This window comes from Homo sapiens, chromosome 5 (assembly GCF_000001405.40).
Source record: "Homo sapiens chromosome 5, GRCh38.p14 Primary Assembly".
Classification (NCBI taxonomy): Eukaryota; Metazoa; Chordata; class Mammalia; order Primates; family Hominidae; genus Homo; species Homo sapiens.
Window position 1 is genome coordinate 8,472,618 of NC_000005.10, and position 16,196 is coordinate 8,488,813.

General features: G+C 38.2%; 1 annotated feature.

The window, feature by feature from the left end:
- Positions 1,190-1,811: an enhancer, noted in NCBI's record as "NANOG hESC enhancer chr5:8473920-8474541 (GRCh37/hg19 assembly coordinates)". NCBI's record gives its function as "activates a minimal SCP1, AML or CMV promoter by ChIP-STARR-seq in naive and primed H9 embryonic stem cells {active_cell/tissue: H9 hESC(naive and primed)}" and the evidence as "EXISTENCE:reporter gene assay evidence [ECO:0000049][PMID:30033119]".

The window sequence follows — 16,196 nt, forward strand, 5'->3', positions numbered from 1 at the left end:
ATAATTTAAGAACAAAAACTGTTGTTCCTTTTTACATTTAATATTTCATGTTAAATGTTTTTATTTAGATTTTTTCTTATTAGCCTATATTATTTTGTCCATTTCTTTAGTATTTTAAAATAAACTTCTTTTAGATACATTGATTTTCTCTACTGTATCTTTGTTTTCTATTTCATTGTTATTTAATTTTATCTTAATTATCTTTCATTCTCTTTGGTCTCATTTATTTGATTTCTAATCTAACTTAATATGTATATGTAACTCCTTAGTTATCAGCCTTTTCTAACATAAATATTTAAAACTATGTATTTCTTTCTTAGTGTTTATTTTAGTATGTTCCAGCAATTTTGATTTGTGATACATTTTTTACTATTAAGTTCTAATTTTTTGACTGTTAAATTAGTCAACTATCAGAATACATATGGTACATTTCTCACTATGGTTGACACAGGATTCCTTCTGTGCCACTTCACCACATGGAAATCTCGGTGGCAATGGCACCCCTGCCTGGGCCTCTCTTGGCTCCATGCTTGCTGCTGGGCTCACTTCACCTACTCTGCCTGGCAGCCTGTACTCAGCTCATGCTACCAGCCTGGATTTTGTGCTCAGCCTGTGGGTGGGCTGGGCATACTGCAGTCTGCTTCCACCTTGGGTACTGGCATCTGGATGAGGGAATGTGGTGGAGCCTGTAAACTAGGAGATGACAGCAACTGCGGAGCCCCAAGCGGTGTTATGGCTCTTGCCCACAGAGTCCCAAGGTCTGAGCCCCCAAGCACTTTTACTGTTCTCTCTCCTTCCCACCACCCACAGATAAGCAAATGGGGTCTGGGGGAGGGGGGCGGGGGTGTTACAGATTCTTCGTGTTACAGCTCTCATTTGTTCCTCCCAGTTGGTGGGTTTTGGGTTCTTGTCCTGCATCCAAGAAAAATGAGGCTACATGGACACTACAGAGTGAGCAACGTAGAAAAGGGTTTTGTTGAGTGACAAAACATCTCTTGTCATGAGAGGGTACCTGAAGTGGGTGGCCCTCTGTGTGAGAGGGGGCCCAAAAGTGAATAGCCCCACATGTGGCTGAGTCTGGGGTAATTATGGGCTCAGAATGGGGGAATGTGAGGTGATTGGTCCATGGACAGGCCTGGAAAAAGCCCCATTTGATTGGCTAAAAGGCATCGAAGAAGTTCTCACTCTGATCATGGACTCTACCTGGACTGCCAACCCTGTTTTCAGGCTTTAAATTGTCCTTGGTTTGAAGGTTGAGTTTTACTGGGGACCTGTCCCTGTCTGCCTAGGAATTTTTCTCCCTCCTGCTGCTATCAATCTCCGCTCTGAAAAGGTACATCTAACTGACGTTAGGATAAGGACAGTTACTGCTCTTACTGCTTCATGCCGACAGGGGGCATTGTTTTGGGAAAATGCAGTCAGATTTCTCTCAGAGGTTTATCTAAGGGTCTCCAGTGAAAGCCATTACCCAAGGCGCATTTGCATAACCATTTGGAGTTTGATGGTCTCTAGGCGAGAAGAAGCAAATTTTACAAGAAGGTTAAGTATGAATGGGCCAAGTATTAGCATTATAAAAAGAGGAGCTAAAAGGAAATTTCTAGTGCCAAAGATAACAGAAATAAGAAGTAAAAGAGACTAATCATTCTGAAAACAATGTTGTGGCCAGAGCTGTTTCACTCTGGTGAAAAATAATTAAATCTTTATAGGGGGCAATTAAACTTGAGAGATAACTGTTTACGGAAGTAGATAATCCCATGGGAGTTCAGGATTAAGGGGTCCTTGGTAAACATGCCTGATGGTGAGGAACAGAACAAAGGTGATAACAGCAAGCATAGGGGAGGCCATAAAGAGGATATTCATGGAAAGTTAATTATTGACACTTATCTTTGTGATTGTTTGCCTGAGGTCTCCAATTTCTTCATACACACTGGTATTTTGGGTGCTCTTCTGGGTCAACAGAGGTAATTCTGTCAGTTTCCCCCTTTACTTAAGTATAATGAATCCAAGAATATATTTCAGTGACCTTTACTGTCATAGGAGTAGAAAGAAGAACAGTGTAAGGTCCCTCCCACTCTGGGCCTACAGAGAGAGAAAGGAAAGAAGTGCCTTTACCAGTCCTAAGTCCCCTGGGTTGAATAGACATGGCCCTAGTTCACAGGGTTAGGCCTCCAACAATTGTTTCAGTTCCTGTTGGAAATGGGCCAACACAGTTACATGTTTAATCAAATCAGAGGTTTCTTGGTCTAGCAAGAAATTGTTAGCGGGAAAAGGCCATCCATACATCATTTCAAAGAGACTTAAACCCAGTTTCAAAGGGGTGTTTCAAACAGGTAGTAGGGTTGTGGGAAGAAGAGTGATCCAGGGGAGATGAGTCTCTTGAGACAGTTTTCTGAGGTGTCTTTTGATAATATCATTTGTCTTCGTCTCCTGAGGATTGTGGTCTCCAATCACAATAAAGATGATATTGTGTGCATAGTGCATTTGAGACCCCTTGGGTGACAGCCACCTTGCACAAGGGGCCATTATCACTCTAGAGGTACTCAGGGAGTCTAAAGTGAGAAATAATTTCATTAATTCATACTTTTATTACCTCAGAAGCTTTCTCTGTTAGATATAGAAAGGCTTCTCCCTAGGTAGTGAATGTATCTACCCATACCAGTAAGGAAGTACTGGATGTCCTTTGTCTTTGTCATATTGGTGAAATTCACCTACCAGTCTTCCCCTAGGTAGCCTGTCATTCTTTGGTTTCCAGCAGGGATAAGTCAATAATTTTAGAGATTACATTAGAGTAAGGGAGTAAGGTTGTCAAGATCATAAGAGGATTGTAGAGATACTCTGAGTGGTACTGAGTGCTTCCTGGCAGTGAATATGATTATATAATTACAGATATTTTTTGAACTTTCATTGCCTAGACTACTACCATATATTCTAATTATCCACCATTTTTTATGCAGCTGGCTATAGCACACAGCTTTCCTTAAGTGCATTGCCAGTGCATGGGGCTTTGAAAGCTACCGTGACTCTTGGCAGGAAAAGTCTAAGATGTGCTTGGGGCACTCTCCACACCGTTTGATTCAAAATATGAAACTAATGCTGAGGGGGGAAAAAAGCACATTCACACAAATTTTAATTCATGTTCCAGGTCCCCTGCTAAACAATTGTTTAAAAGTAATGTATCATTTATCCCTCGCAATTACCCTATGAAGCAACTGCTACAAAGACCCTTCAGCTGTGGCTATTTCGGCTCATTCTGAGCCAGGGTTCTGATTGTACAGTAGTCATTAAAAGGCTGCCCCTTTTGAAGGACGTTTCTCTTTCACTGCTCACGTCAACTCTCCATGGGTCTTAGCAAAGGCTGGCATATTTGTCACATGGGTATACTGTAGAATGTGAAATTAAAATGAGACTTGCTTGAGAGAGATTTTTGTTCTGAAGGGAGAACGGTGTTTTAGTACTTATTTCCATCACTCCTAGGGTAGATGGACAGAAAATGTCTGCCTAAAAGAATTTGTCGAATGAAGCTGCCAAGGTTACAAGAAACACAGTGGTAGCAGAAAGAAGGCCAGAGAAGCATTGCTTTTTAGGTCTTTATACAGAACATGAGGCTTGGAAAAAGCCATCCTTCCAGCAACTTTTCTTCCTTGTGTTGCTTCTGTGGTCCAGAGGATTCAATTTGGGAAGGATGTTGGCATTCTTTTTTCATATGCAATGCTTTCTGCATAAAGAATGTTTTTTTCCATATTCCTTAAAACCATATCATTTTCTTTAACACTCTTTAATTTCTGCCAGTTACTTTCTCAGCGAGTTTTGCAATATCACACTTGTTTTTTTCTTTTCCCTATCTAACATTTTTTTTTTCTAAAGATTTCTTTCTCATCCATGTTTGCATTTTTGGGTATGTTCTTTTTATCATCATCATTATCATCACCATTATTATTCTAGATTGAACACAAAATTAACATATAAATCTTTGACAGTTAAGAAAAATGTGATTTAATTTAGTTTTGTGTAGTGGAAAGAGTACTTGAAATCTCACGATCTCTATTTGAATCCTGACTCTGCAGTGCCCTCGCCTTCTGCCACATTGGATGAGAGCTTTGTATTCTCTCTAGTCTTCAATTTTCTCATTTGTGAAATGAAAAAGTTAAAGTAAATACTCTCTAACCCCTCTTCCAGCACTGCTAACACAAGGACCAGCTTTCTCCCAAGATGATGCTGCCTCACACAGTGATTTAATTTTTCTGTTTATACCCACCTTCTTCCAAAAATTATTTGAGGGTATCTGTGAAGGATACACAAGAAACCAATAACATGGGTTATTTTGGGGTGAAGGAACATCAAGGCTGAGAGACAGGAGTAGAAGAGAAGATTCAGGCCATCTGGATTTTGACCAGATAAACCTGTTTTCAATTCCAACAAATGAACAAAATGTAAAACTGTAATCAAGAGTAGTTACCTGAGCAGACTTTTTTAAAAATTCATTTTGGTCTATTCTGTGATTATAGTGACTCAAAATAATACTTTACTAAAGCTGTAAGGGTAGGAAAAAATCAGTAGAATTTAGCTTTTTCTTTACCATTTTAATAGTAGAAAGAAATGCTAATGAACAACAAAATAGCCAGAATAAATAAAAAATTTGAGTAACATTTATTGAGACTTTTAGCACTGGAGACTTGCATTTATGCAATATTTATTGGATCTATGTTTTATATTTCTAGACAAATTTAGAGCTAAGACTTGAGTCTAACATTCTCTGCACACACACTTAAGAAAGATGTCCCCGGCCGGATGTGGTGGCTCACGCCTGTAATCCCAGCACTTTGGGAAGCTGAGGTGGGCAGATCACGAGGTCAGGAGTTTGAGACCAGCCTGGCCAACATAGTGAAACCCCGTTTCTACTAAAGATACAAAAAATTAGCCAGGTGTGGTGGCGTGCACCCATAATCCCAGCTACTCGGGAAGCTGAGGCACTAGAGTCTCTAGAACCTGGGTGGTTACTGTGAGCCAAGATCACGTCATTGCACTCCAGCCTGGGTGACAGGAGAGACTCTGTCTCAAAAAAAAAAAAAAAAAAAAAAAAAAAAAGAAAGAAAGAAAGAAAAGAGAAAAGAAAGATGTTCCACAAGACCTTTACTCCCCCAGCTGTTATTATAGGCCTCAAACTTTATTAAGCAATTATACTGCTCTACACATGTTGATAAGGACATTTAAAAACGGTTATTAATTTTTAGAAAAATTTAAGATAGAAAATGAGAGAAGTTATGTCCAATTTGTGAAAATAATCCAATTAAACACAAACTTTTAAAAATTATAAAAATTACTTTGAGTAAATAGACACATTCAAAAACATTTTGTATGTCTTCTAACAAATAATCATTACTTTTTTTCAGGTATGTTGGAGCAAATTAGTGTTTAAACACCTGTTCAGAAGAATTAACAGATTGCAGTATAGCATGAATCCTATCCCTCTGGTCATTACTTATCCTGGCACATAGGCATCGAAGCATTTTGTTTGCTCAAGGCTAATTAATCTGTATTGATTCTTCACTGAGAAGTGAATATTAAAAAATTACTTAAAAATGTACCTTGATTTTTTTTAAAAGAGCATCCTTTGCTATATAATATTTGTTAAATCAAACTAAAATTTGGCCTGATAAAGACTTCATACTTGCATTCTGTATTAGCTCCTTCTCCTGCTGCTATGAAGAAATACCAGAGAATGGGTAATTTATAAATGAAAGAGGTTTAATTGACTCCCAGTTCCCCAGGGCTGGGGAGGCCTCAGGAAACTTACAATCATGGTGAAAGGGGAAGCAAACACATACTTCTTCACATGGTGGCAGGATGGAGAAGAATGAGAGTCGAGTGAAAGGGGAAGTCCCTTGTAAAACCATCAGGTCTCTTGAGAACTTACTCACTATCATGAGACTAGCACGGCAGAAACCTCCTCTATGATTCAATTACCTCTCACTGGGTCCTTCCCACAACATGTGGGGATTATGGGAGCTATAATTCAAGATGAGATTTGGGTGGGGACACAAAGCCTAAGCATATCACATTCTTTAGTTATCCTGTACAAACTGCAATATATGCAAACTGAAAACCTAATTTAGGTGTGTGCTTCTGTAAAATAGCTGAGTTTCAGCCAAACCCAGCAACCAGACTTCATCCACTCACAGGCAACCAACTGTTTATTGTTGAAATAAGGCAAAAGCTGAGTTATAACTAATCCAATTGTTTCTGGAGGTTACTTCCATTTTCTGTATGTCACTTTCCTTTTTCTGTACATAAGTTTTATCCAAACATGCAGCAGCCCCAGAGTCTCTCTGAATGTGTTCTGATGCTGGGAACTGCCTGATTCAAGAATCATTTTTTTTTCTTGCTTAATTAGATTCTGTTAGATCCTATTAAATTTAATTTGTTTAAAGGTTTGTTTTGGTTTGTTTGATTTAACAGATCTGGTGTCAAAAGTGAGGATCCAAAGTAAAACTCCAGTGACTCTCAGGATCACCAGGTGACCAGGAGGCAAGGTACTGTGGAGCCCACTGTGCTCCTTGCTCTCGTTTGTAACTGGAGTTCATGGACAAGTATTATTGTGGATTCTGAGCTCCACCAATTGTGTTCTGAGCAATTTTTTAAAGCAATATTTAGCTGGAATGACTGGAGGATCAGATTGGATTTGATAGTTAACTGGTTCAGATTTAGTTAGAGGCCTGGAACTTCAGATAGTGACATTTGTGATAATGAGTTTGTCTCAATCACAGGAGTTTGGAACTACACCTTCTAGGATTCCAGCTTTTTTTTTTTTTTTTTTTTTTTGAGATGGAGTCTCGCTCTGTCGCCCAGGCTGGAGTGCAGTGGTGTGATCTCTGCTCACTGCAAGCTCTGCCTCCTGGGTTCACGCCATTCTCCTGCCTCAGCCTCCCGAGTAGCTGGGACTATAGGCGCCTGCCACCACACCTGGCTAATTTTTTGTATTTTTAGCAGAGACGGGGTTTCACTGTGTTAACCAGGATAGTCTTGATCTCCTGACCTTGTGATCTGCCCACCTCGGCCTTCCAAAGTGCTGGGGTTACAGGCGTGAGCCACCGCGCCCAGCCGATTCCAGCTAATTTTATGTATAAAATTAGGAACCCAAGAACGTATGTCATTTTTAAAATTTGGGCTAACCTTACTAAATACAATGTAGAATTCAGATGGCCACAATAGGGAAGTTTTTTTTTAATTAATTAATTAATTTATTTTTCTTTTCGAAACAGTCTTGCTCTGTTGCTCAGGCTGGAGTGCAGTGGCGCTATCTTCGCTCACTGCAAACTCCACCTCCTGGGTTCAAGTGATTCTCCTGCCTCAGCCTCCCAAGTATCTGAGATTACAGGAGCCAGCCACCACACCTGACTACTTCTTGTATTTTTAGTAGAGATGGAGTTTCATCATGTTGGCCAGGCTGGTCTCAAACTCCTGACCTCAAGTTATCTGTCCAACTCAGCCTCCCAAAGTGCTGGGATTATAGGCATTAGCCACCACACCTGGCTGGAAGTTTTAATTTGAACAAAATTGTGTATTTAAAGGCATATTATAAAAGGGGTGACCAAAAAGCCTGCAAAAGCAATTTCGTGTATTCTTTAATTGGCATGTGAAGGCATCTAAAAGATTAAATGAATGAAAAATTGCTATTGCAGAAAAAGCAAACAAAAAGTTTAAGCCACAGACTAAGGACATAACAGAAGAGGATTGTACTCTTGATTGAACTAACCCCAACTATTCCTTCTCTTTATCCATCTCTACCTAAATTCTCTGAGTCCACTAATCTTTTTCTAAATGACCTTTTCACCTTGATGATGATGAGAACAGAGAAGTTAGACAGACGCCTTACAAAGTAAGACCTGATCAGCCAGGCCTCTGGGCTGTTATCACCTTTTACTTTGTGGTCTAAAACTGAGCATAGAGTCATTGTAAAGAACTTCCCTGACTCAAGGGAACATCCTCAAGAATGTATTGAGGAATTTAGAATCATCATAGGAGCTTACGATCCAGGGCTTTCTGACCTCTACTGATTTATTCCCATGACATTGGGACCTAGCAAAGCTCAGAAATGGATGACAGCAGCAGATTGGGACAGACCTAAGGAGGATATTAAAGATCCCCCCACACCCCCTTATGAGAAGGGCCAAACTGAGCTATGAAAATTGCTGAAAATCCTTTAGATTCAATTTCTACATATGTTTCACAGAAAAATAATTGGTTCATCATTCAATTTTGCAGACCAAAAAACAAAAACAAAAACAAAAAATTGACCCAGTTTTAGATTACAGAACTCAGAAATACTGTATTTGAAATGTTCTAGGCTCAACATACAGCAAGCAGTCTTTTCTGCAGGTACTGAAATGGGATTAACTAATCTATTTATAAATAGATCCTGTCCTTAACTCAACAGTTTAATTTAAAAACATAAACTTAGATGGGTAGTGACAGATGTGACTCAATGGATAGCCTTAGCTGAACATTTTGAGAGGACATCAGAGTGAGAACAAAACCCCAGAAGGGTAACAAGCTTATGTCTGTCCTGTTACTATGGTTACGGGGTCCGAAACCAAAGGGGCCTTCTTGTTTTTCTTTTAAATCACAACCAAGAGGTAGAGAATAAGAAATTCTGTACTCCAGGATATCTGCTTTTATTGCAAATAACAAAGACACTGGAAAAGAGATTGTCCAGATTTATATCAGTCCACTCATAAGCCTCCCCCATTTAGACCAGACTGTTTCTCCCCTAGAGGCAGCCCAAGAGATCTTAGCCCTTGTGGTGATAATAGACATTGTGGAGGCCCTCAGGGAGTCTCCTGTAAATTGCCCTTGCCCCCTCCCCAACTTAACGTCCATTTTTCTCCACAATATCCTTAAATAAACCTGAAGAAACAGGGTCAAAATAAATGAGCAATCCTGTACAATACTGGTGGATATGAGAGCCACATTATCTACCATAAACTCCACTTAAATCGATCAACAAATCCCTCTGAGTAAAAAGGTCATTTCTGTGGTGGCGCTTTTGAATCAAGTTCAAGAGGCTTCCATATCTGAACAAATCCAATTTACTTTGCAGCCATTTTCAGAAAAATGTACCTTTCTGCTATGTGATACTGCCCCAGTAAATTTGCTAGGGTGAGAATCACTTTCATTGCTAACAGAGCATATGAAATTCTTCTATGAGGGAGAAGTAATCTTAGAGTTTTTGACTCTCCTCAATCAGAACGGTTATGCTCTCTACAGGCAGAAATTGGTAAGATCAAAAATCAGGCCTATAAACCTGCATCTTTTCTAAAATACCTGAAGGTTTATGGGCCTTTTCCTTAACTGATATAGAAATAATTAAAAGTATGGAACTTTTAAAAGTCCAAATAGATCGTTCTAAATCCTTGCCTAAATTACCCCAGTATCCACTAAAACTCAAATTAGTTCAAATGCTCTCACCAGTGGTAGAAGAGTCAATTAAACAAGGACTTATAATTCTGTGTACCAGTCTTTGTAACACTCGAATCCTACCAGTTAACAAACCAGATGGACAAGCTTAGAGATTTATTCAAGATTTACAGACAATTAATAAAATTGTAATACCAAGGTTTCCTGTAGTCCCAGATAGTGATATCTTAATGTCTAATATACCCACTGATTCGAAGTGGTTTGCAGTAGCAAACCTCTGCTCAGCCTTTTTTTTTAGCATTCCAGTTCATAAATAGAGTCAATACTTATTTGCTTTACTTGGAAAAATCAGCAGTTCACCTGGATAGTAATGCCACAAGGATTAATGTAGTTTTCCTAGGCATTGCATCAGGACTTAACCCTATAGAGTGCTGGAAATTCTACTCATACTCAATATGTAAATGACCTGTAGTTATGCACTCTGCCACTAAAGAGTGCTTTGAAATTTCCTCAATTTACCTTTTATAGCAAGTTGCATGTAAAGGTCACAAGACTTTGATGATAAAACTTTAGTTTTCAAGAGAAGAGGTCAACTGTTTTTGACACAATTTGATTGCTGAAGCAATTTCCTTCTCACCTGAAATAATACAAACTACCTAAAGTTTTCCTTGCCCTGCAACCCAACACAAGGACTTTTCTTGCGCTTATAGAATATTACAGATACTGAGTCCTGAATTTTTCCTTTATGGCCTCACCATTCTATGAACTCACTAGAATATAGTACCTAAGGTCTTAACCTTGGAAAGACAGTCATGCACCAACTTTTAACCAAATGAAATTGGCCTCAAAACCACCCCTCACTTTAGAAATTCCAAATTACAGTAAATCTTTTACCTTGTTCCCTTCATGAATGTAATAATTGGGTACTAAGATTTCTTACCCAAGAACATGGGGGAAACAGGGCCATGGCATAATATAGCCTGCAATTAGAACCAATAACTGAAGCATATCCTAATTGTTTAAAAGCAGGAGCAGCAGCAACCTACTTGATAGAAGCAACTGCCTGGTTTTAAGAGATGAACTTAATTTGCAAGTCCCACATGAGGTGGAAAGTCTATTAAATTCCAGCCAGACTCAGCATTTTTTACCAATAGACTAACATCTTAGAAATTCTTCTCTTGTCTCCTAACCTTTCATCAAAAATGCTGAAACCCATCTAAGCCTGCTACTCTATTACCTCTGCCTGACGATGTGAAGACCACAACTGTGTAAATGTAATATCAGAAATAGTGTCCCCTCCTGTAGATTTATGAGCTGCTCCACGATAATCCTAAATTAATACGTTTTGTTGATGGGTTCTATGCCAAAAACTCAGAAGAAAAATATCAGTTGAGGTATGATGTTACCACCAAAAATGAGTTAATAGAGAAGGAAACTCTTACTTAAGTCACCTCAACCTGTGAAGCTTATTGCTCTCACCCAAGCTTGTCATACAGCTAAGGACAAGTCAGTATATGTTTATACAGATAGCAAATATGCTTCTGGGGTCTTACATGATTTTGGCATGTTATGTAAACAATGAGGGTTTCTCACCTCTACTACTACTAGTAGTAGATTTTACAGCTATCCTGTTACAATTACAGATTGACGTTGTTAAGTTTGAAGCTCACACGTGTAGAAATGAATCGGAAAATCAAGGGAATGCCTTAGAAGATTTTTGTGTTAAATGAACTAGTGTTGAAATTGCTGGAGTATGCAATTTGAATGAACTCCGTCAGATTGATCCAAGTCAACTCTCTTGTGATGACTTATTTAATAAATAGTGCAATGGCCCTGATTTAAAAAAAAAAAACAAAATTGGTATCTAACAGGATGTAAATTCAATGTTAGATGTGGACCCATATAGGAACTGGATGGTTGTCTGGCCCTTCTTCAGTCTTTGAAACTTCCATTGTTAAAAGTTCTGCACTCCAAAAATCATCATAGAACAGACAAAAGATTCAAATTATGAAAAAATATTGGTGCGGTGACTTCCAAAATGCTAAAACAGTTTAAAATCAATGTTTGGTTTTTCAAATTTATAATCCCTGGAAAACAATAAAAACCTTAGGTGGTATATTTCTGCCACCTGATTTGAACATTTACAGATGGATTTCATTTAGATATGACCCTCAGTAGAGTATTAGTATGTTTTTGTAATATTTTTCATGTTATCTGGTTGGGTAGAGGCTCTTTCATGAAGAAAAACTGATATTGTGACAGTAGCTAAACAATTATTAGAAAATGTGTTTCTTTCATGGGACATCCCTGGAAAAATCTCCAGCAACAGTGAAACTTATTTTACTGAGCAAGTTACAAAGAAGTTAAGTAAAATGTTAGGGACACAGTGGCATTACCACTGTCCTTATTAATTTCAATTTTTTGGAATGGCTGAAAGAACAAGTAGTTTCTTACAACTGAAATTGGCAAAATTAACCGAGTCAATCGGGTTGCCATGGCCCAAGGTACTACCACTGGCTTTAATGGCAATCAGATCCATTGCCATTGAAAAGCATTAAGTTTACCCTTCATGAAATAGTTACTGGAAGGCCTTGTCCCTAATATTAGAACCTCCTGCATCTCTCACTCTTGTAAACTCTGATATGACTAAATTCTGTAAGGTTTTAATGCATTATGTCAAAGTGTATTTTCACCAGATAAAGGATGCTTTTCCTGATCCACCAACTGAGGAAAATCAAACCTTTTATGGTCTAGAAATTAGAGACTGGGTCTTCTGGAAATGACATTAGAGGAAGACCACCAGTGATCCTCCTTGGAAAGAACCATATATGAACCCCAAAAAATCTGAGACAGGCCTTGGTTAATTTAGAAAGTTTATTTTGCCAAGGCCAAGAAAATGTGTGCCCATGACACAGCTTCAGGAGGTCCTGATGACATATGTCCAAGATGATCAGAGCACAGTTTGGTTTTATACATTCAAGGGAGACATGAGACATCAATCAACATATGCAAGATGAACATCGGTTTGGTCTGGAAAGGCGAGATGACTCAAAGCAAAGGCAGGAAGACCTGTAGTGAGGAGAGGGCTTCTAGGTCATAGGTAGATAAGAGAAAAATGGTTGTATTCTTATGAGTTTCTGATTAGCCTCTCCAATGGAGGCAATCAGATATGTATTTATCTCAGTAAGCAGAGGGTTGACTTTGAATAGAATGGGAGGTAGGTTGGCCCTAACAGTTCCCAGTTTGACTTTTCCCTTTAGCTTAGTAATTTGGTGGCCTCAAGATTTATTTTCCTTTCACACATATCAAGTCCTTCTCACCACCTACACTACAGTAAAGCTTCAGGGCCTCGAAACTTGGGTCCACATTTCACAGTTGAAAAGGGACCCTTCAAACTTTTGGAACTGCACACCTGTTGGAGACTTTAAGGTAAAGCTAAACAGAAAAATTTCTCCCATGGACAGCTTTCAAGACTTTTGTCTTGACCAAAGACTTTAAAAAAAAATTAACCTTTTTAAAAATTAATGTTCATTTTATTCAGAGGGACCTTACTCTTGGCACTAGTGGGGTACCAGTTCCATGGAATTTAATGCTAATTCATAAATTGGGAAAAATCTTAAATAATGTATCCAATTAAACCTCCTAGGGATTTAGATAGGTAGAAACCACTCTCTGAAAGGCAGATGATAACATATGGATTTGACAAAAACAAACAAACCAACATACAAAAGAAACAATGAAACATAGTGCAGCTCTAGATCTCTTTTATGCTCAAGTTGTGGGCTTATGTTCCTTATGTTTAGTTTTGAACAAAACTGAATGTTTTACCTATCTGTCACCTGATTTTATTAGTACAGAAAGCTTAATTTAAAAGTTGAGTGTTAACTACTGCTTTCTTAAACATTGCCACCAAGTACATTAAGGAAATCTCCCCAGAGAAGGAAGCACATCATATGTTTAAGGGGGCAAGTAACAGTTGATTTTCAAGCATCTTAAATAGTGGATGGCAATCTTAGGTTTTCCAAAATTTTCAAATTTTTGTATTTCTTCTATCAGGTCCATAAGGACACTTGAAACTCATTGCACGTGGTACTCTATGGAAGGAAGTGTCAATGATGTGGAAAACAACTCCGATAGAGAGAACATCATGAGAGCTTGGAATGATTACATCATTGGCAATGCCATCATTGTTATAGAAAAGCCATGAAAGCCATCAAGCCTGAAACAACAAATTCCTTCTGGAGAATACTGTGTATAGATGTGCATGGCTTCACAGGATTTATGACTGAGCCAATCAACGAAATCATAAAAGAAGTTGTGCATATGGCAAAAATAAAAAGGTGGGGGTAAAGGGTTTCAAGATATGGGTCTTGGATTAATTCAGGACCTAATAAACACCACACCAGAGAAATTCACAATGGATGATTTGATGGAGATGAGTGCTTTCAAACCAGTGCCAGATGATGAGGAGGAAGGCATAGAAGATGCAGGGCCAGGAAACAAGTTGACTTTAGACACTCTGGGAGGAAGGATCCAGTTATTCAAGAATGCTTTTGACTTCTTTCATATGACATGGACCCTTCTACAATACAGGCAATAAGATTAAAGCAAATGATAAAGAAGAATTAGTACTGTATAAAAACATTTTTAGAGAAATGAGAAGACAGGAATTCAGATAGAAATTATGATGTATTTCTGTAAAGTTACACTGAGTGTGCCTGCTTCTTCTGACTCCTCTTCCATCTCCTCCATATCTTCCACCTCTATCACCCCTGAGACAACAAGACCAACCCCTTGTCTTCCTCCTCCTCAGCTTAGTTGATGCGAAAACAACAAGGATAAAGATCTTTATGATGATCCACTTCCACTTAATGAATAATAAATGTATTTTTTAACTTATTATTTTCGTAGTAAGATTTTCTCTTCTGTAGCTTACTTTATTGTAAGAATACATTATATAATATACATAACATAAAATATGTGTTAATCAACTGTTTATGTTATCAGTAAGGCTTTGGGTCAACAGTAAGCTATTAGTAGATAAGTTACTGGGGAATCCAAAGTTACATGCGGCTTTTTGACTGCAAGAGGGCCCGGTGTCTCTCACCCCAGCATTGCTCAAGGGTCAACTCTGTATTTCATGACAATTTCTTAACTACTTATATTTAGATTTGGTATAAACAGCAACAGCAACCAAAGAGAACCTTATTACAGCAAAAAAGTTTCACTCTGTTGTTTCCACCCAGACCCTCTGCAACCTCAATACTTCCCACTGATTTCTGAAAGCCCTCATCACTCTCCGGAGGAAACAAAATATTGACATTTTGTTCAGGCTCAGGTAAGATAAAGTGAAGAGGATCATTATTTGGCTTTTGAAGAATAGATGTTCATAGGTTTATATTTCAGGTTAAGATTGTTAAGAGATTGACTTAAATATAAGATTTTAGTATAAAAAATGTAATGAATGCTCACCCCTCTTTTTTGACCTTGGCTAATGCTGCTGCTTAGCTGGGGACCCTTATGTGAATGAGACAATATTGTATTCGGAGCAGCAGGCCCTGCTTTGAAGTAGTTCCGTTCTCTTCTGAAAACTCAAAGCTGCTTTCATGCAAGTACTGTTGATTAAAAAATTATTTCTCCACATGAAGCAAAAAAAAAAAAATGTTTCATAAGTATCAGCATTGAGAATGTTCAATTTTAAGGAAGTCTCCCATCCTGGATTTTCTAACTTTGAAGATATTACTAATAACACTAACCATTGTTTTTGCTTTATTTTTAATCACTATCTTATTTTTTCTGACTTCGTAATTTCCATTTCATAAGGATAACAGGTAAAGGGCATTTTTTGGCCTCTAAATAATTAATCATAACTCTAGTGACACATTTCAAAGGGCCAGGAGCAAATCAGTATTCACAGTAAAAGCTGAAGAGTCGGCATTTGCCTTTCTAAATTCTCTGTTGTTTAGAAAATTAAATAAACTGTTGTTTAGAAAATTTTTATGCATTGCCTGAACTTGGAAATTTTGCATAGAATTTGACTTTCTGATTTAGAGTTTTAGTTCCAGATGTTTTTTGTGCCTATTTAACAGAGGTATTGCTTATGAGTGCTTAAGAATGATTTTTGCAGTAGAATATCTCATTGATTAAGTACTACTATTGTTTGATTTCAAGGATGGTCCCCACAAAAATGGCTTGCACTTGTTCAAGTTCTACTCTACACTTGAATTTCCATTATAATTATAATTATTTTTTGACTCCTGTACCAAGTGAACTTTATGCTGTTTATTCTTAAAACCCTTACAGGAGCAAATGATTGATCTTAAATATATTTGCATGGGCCAAGGGAAAGCTTCTCTGCCTTCTGAAGGTTTGCTTGAAAAATCAACTCCCAAAAGGAGATTAATATGACATACAGATTTATTAATGTGCACATAAGGAAGAAAGAATGGGAGCTTGGATCATGGCAAAACAGGTTATCGTGGTAAACAGATTCTGGGAGAGGGAGAAGAGGAAGCGTGGCTGGCCAAGGTGGTCTTGCTATGTAGATGAAACCTCACAGGTAGCAGCTGTTAGACCGAATAGATTGTAAGTGTGTCTTTTAGACCTTTCTAGGTGTCAGACTGTCAGTTAACCTTCCCTAAATCCAGACAAGAAAAGGCCTGGCTGCATCACTGCAGATTCTGCACAGAACCAAATCTCCCCCACCAAAGACAGCTTTGCAAGGCCACTTCTGTTTGCTGGTTCTCTGAACATTCATCTCAAAATATGTCTACAAAGTGTAT